Source organism: Homo sapiens, chromosome 21 (genome assembly GCF_000001405.40).
Source record: "Homo sapiens chromosome 21, GRCh38.p14 Primary Assembly".
NCBI lineage: Eukaryota > Metazoa > Chordata > Mammalia > Primates > Hominidae > Homo > Homo sapiens.
Window position 1 is genome coordinate 40959445 of NC_000021.9, and position 4007 is coordinate 40963451.

General features: G+C 40.1%; 1 annotated feature.

Annotated features, from left to right (window-relative positions):
* Positions 579-1280: an enhancer, noted in NCBI's record as "OCT4-NANOG-H3K27ac hESC enhancer chr21:42331949-42332650 (GRCh37/hg19 assembly coordinates)". NCBI's record gives its function as "activates a minimal SCP1, AML or CMV promoter by ChIP-STARR-seq in naive and primed H9 embryonic stem cells {active_cell/tissue: H9 hESC(naive and primed)}" and the evidence as "EXISTENCE:reporter gene assay evidence [ECO:0000049][PMID:30033119]".

The window sequence follows — 4007 nt, forward strand, 5'->3', positions numbered from 1 at the left end:
TTCAAGAAAAGTAGAACGGACTAAAGGTCTTTTAAAAACACACCTCACCAAGCTCAGCCACCAACTTAAAAAGGACTGGACAATACTTTTACCACTTTTGCGTCTCAGAATTTAGGCCTGTCCTCGGAATGCTACAGAATACAGCCCATTTAAGCTCCTGTATAGACGCTCCTTTTTATTAGGCCCCAGTCTCATTCGACACCAGACCAACTTAGACTGTGCCCCAAAAAAACTTGTCATCCCTACTATCTTTTGTCTATCATACTCCTATTCACCGTTCTCAACTACTCATACATGCCCTGCTCTTGTTTACACTGCCAGTTTACACTGTTTCTCCAAGCCATCACAGCTGATATCTCCTGGTGCTATCCCCAAACTGCCACTCTAAACTCTTGAAGTAAATAAATAATCTTTGCTGGCAGGACTATGCTGAATCTCTTTAGGCACTCTCTAATCAGATGTCCTAGGTCCTCCCAATTCTTAGACCTTTTATACCTGTTTTTCTCCTTCTCTTATTCCATTTAGTTTTTCAATTCATACAAGACCGTATCCAGGCCATCACCAATCATTCTATACGACATATGTTTCTCCTAACAACCCCACAATATCACCCCTTACCACAAGACCTCCCTTCAGCTTAATCTCTCCCACTCTAGGTTCCCACACCACCCCTAATCCTGCTTGAAGCAGTCCTTAGAAACATTGCCCATTCTCTCTCCATACCACCCCCAAAAATTTTCGCCACCCCAACACTTCAACACTATTTTGTTTTATTTTTCTTATTAATATAAGAAGGCAGGAATGTCAGGCCTCTGAGTCCAAGCCAAGCCATCGCATCCCCTGTGACTTGCACGTATATGCCCAGTTGGCCTGAAGTAACTGAAGAATCACAAAAGAAGTGAATATGCCCTGCCCCACCTTAACTGATGACATTCCACCACAAAAGAAGTGTAAATGGCCGGTCCTTGCCTTAACTGATGACATTACCTTGTGAAAGTCCTTTTCCTGGCTCATCCTGGCTCAAAAAGCACCCCCACCGAGCACCTTGCGACCCCCACTCCTGCCCGCCAGAGAACAAACCCCCTTTGACTGTAATTTTCCTTTACCTACCCAAATCCTATAAAACGGCGCCACCCTTATCTCCCTTCGCTGACTCTCTTTTCGGACTCAGCCCGCCTGCACCCAGTGAAATACACAGCCATGTTGCTCACACAAAGCCTGTTTGGTGGTCTCTTCACACGGACGCGCATGAAAATATTAACATATTGTAGATAAATAATATTATTGATATAGTCTTGAACATTATAACCATATAACCATAAATACAAGCATATGTAATTTAAGTATAATTAAAATTTATAATAAATATTAGTAAATGTATCCTTAAAAATATACCAATTGGCCATTTCCATGTTTTAATTTTCATTGTTATCATTCCTTTCTAATTTAGACTTAAGGTCTTTCTGTCTAGAGGGGCCATGAGCCAAGATAGCCACTCTTCAGGAAAGCCCTGCCAGTTGGGCTGGGGGTTAGGTTTGGCTATGTCAGTCAGGTGAGACACAGAGGGAAGGTGAAACCCAAATGCATGCAACAGAAGAAATTTATTACTTACAGGTCCCAGAGAGGTTAAGAAGCCTGAGATGGAGGAATGGGGTGGTCCAAGGGCAACAGGAAGTTCAACCAGCAAGTGTAGAGGGGCAGGGGCACTGGTGGGACTATGTCTTTATTTATTTTTTTATTTTTATTATACTTTAAGTTTTAGGGTACATGTGCACAACGTGCAGGTTAGTTACATATGTATACATGTGCCATGTTGGTGTGCTGCACCCATTAACTCGTCATTTAACATTAGGTATATCTCCTAATGCTATCCCTCCCCCCTCCCCCCACCCCACAACAGGCCCCCGTGTGTGATGTTCCCCTTCCTGTGTCCATGTGTTCTCATTGTTCAATTCCCACCTATGAGAGAGAACGTGCGGTGTTTGGTTTTTTTGTCCTTGCGATAGTTTGCTGAGAATGATGGTTTCCAGCTTCATCCATGTCCCTACAAAGGACATGAACTCATCCTTTTTTATGGCTGCATAGTATTCCATGGGGTATATGTGCCACATTTTCTTAACCCAGTCTATCATTGTTGGACATTTGGCTTGGTTCCAAGTCTTTGCTATTGTGAATAGTGGCACAATAAACATATGTGTGCATGTGTCTTCACAGCAGCATGATTTATAATCCTTTGGGTGTATACCCAGTAATGGGATTGCTGGGTCAAATGGTATTTCTAGTTCTAGATCCCTGAGGAATTGCCACACTGACTTCCACAATGGTTGAACTAGTTTACAGTCCCACCAACAGTGTAAAACTGTTCCTCTTTCTCCACATCCTCTCCAGCACCTGTTTTTTCCTGACTTTTTGATGAGGGACTATGTTTTTAGTGAGGTCCATTTCATGCTCCCTTAGGCCTTCCTGAGGGGCCTGTGGGTTGCCTAATTTAAAGAAAAAAAAAAGAGGAATTTCATTTGCATAACGGCATAATGCAGCAATTCACCATGTGGTTTTATCATAGCAGCTGTGAGATGAGCCGGGTCTGGGGTCAGTGGGATGACAAATATGTGAGTTCATCACAAACAACAACATGGTAAGGGCAAGTTTTAATCAGGCCAAAGGCGATTGTGCACTGAGACTGGATTTCAAACAACTAACACCAGGCCTAAACATGAACACCAAGGCATCATCTGTATTAAAACAATATACGCTATCCCAGCCATACTACAAGGGTGTCTCCGTCCCTACATCTTCTCCAACGAGCTGTGTTATCTTTGATTCATGCCAATCTGACACATGAACAACAGTATTCTGATGTGGTCTAAATCTGCAGGAATCTTAATTTGAGTGAGAAGGAATATTTCTCATGTGTCTAGGAGCTCTTTGTGCTTGGAGGAATGGCAGACACTATGTGTGTGTGTGTATGTGTGCATATATATATATATATATATATATATATCCTTTCCTTGTTTTCCATTTTATTATAAATATTTTCTCATAGCTTTGTTAGCAAAATTAACCCATTGATCATGATAAAAAAATGCAACTTTTTTTGCAAGATTGTCATTTGTCTTTTGAATTTGTGAAGGTTTTCCCAATTCAGAGCTCTATCTAGTCACTTTTATTAGTCTAGGTCTTGTGGAACACTTTAAAAAGAATTCGGCATTCTTTTGTTTTCTTTTAATGTTTTCTGTATTGTTTTCTTTTTAATATATTGAGCTATTGAAGATTAGTTTTCCACTATTAATTTTTTCAAATACAATCAAGTCATCTTTGTATCCCTTAATTAATAATTATTGTTTTCCTTGCTAATTTAAAAGAGCATCTTTAAATATTTAGATCTGATTGGATCTATTTATGGGCCTCTTCCATTTATGTCTTAGCTAAGACCAACATCACTGATTTAATTATTGTATTTTTATGTAAGAAATTTTTTTCCAGATGAGATTGGTCATGTTCAGGGAGGGAAAAAAAAAACAAAAAACGAAATCATATCCTTTTCAGTAACATGGATGCATCTGTAAACCAGTATCCTAAGTGAACTAACACAGAAACAGAAAACCCAAGTGCTGCATGTCCTCACTTATAAGTGGAGCTAAACATTGGATACACATGGTCAAAAAAAATGGGCACTAGAGACCTGGGGGAATACACAAGGAGGAAGAGACTGAGGAAGGGATGAAAGAAACTAGGTACTGGGTACTGTACTCACTACCTGGGTGACAGATTCATCTGTACTCAAACCCTCAGCATCATGCAATCTATTTTTGTAACAACCCTGCACATGTACCCCCTGATTCCAAAATAAAAGTTGAAAAAAGAAAAGGAATATTTTTGTTTCCAGAAAGCTTCTTTATTCCTCTCTTCAAAAAGCTATGAGAATGCAAAGGCATAAGAATGATATCATGGACTTTGGGGACTTGACAGAAAGGATAGGAGGGGGTGAGAGATAAAAGACTACACAT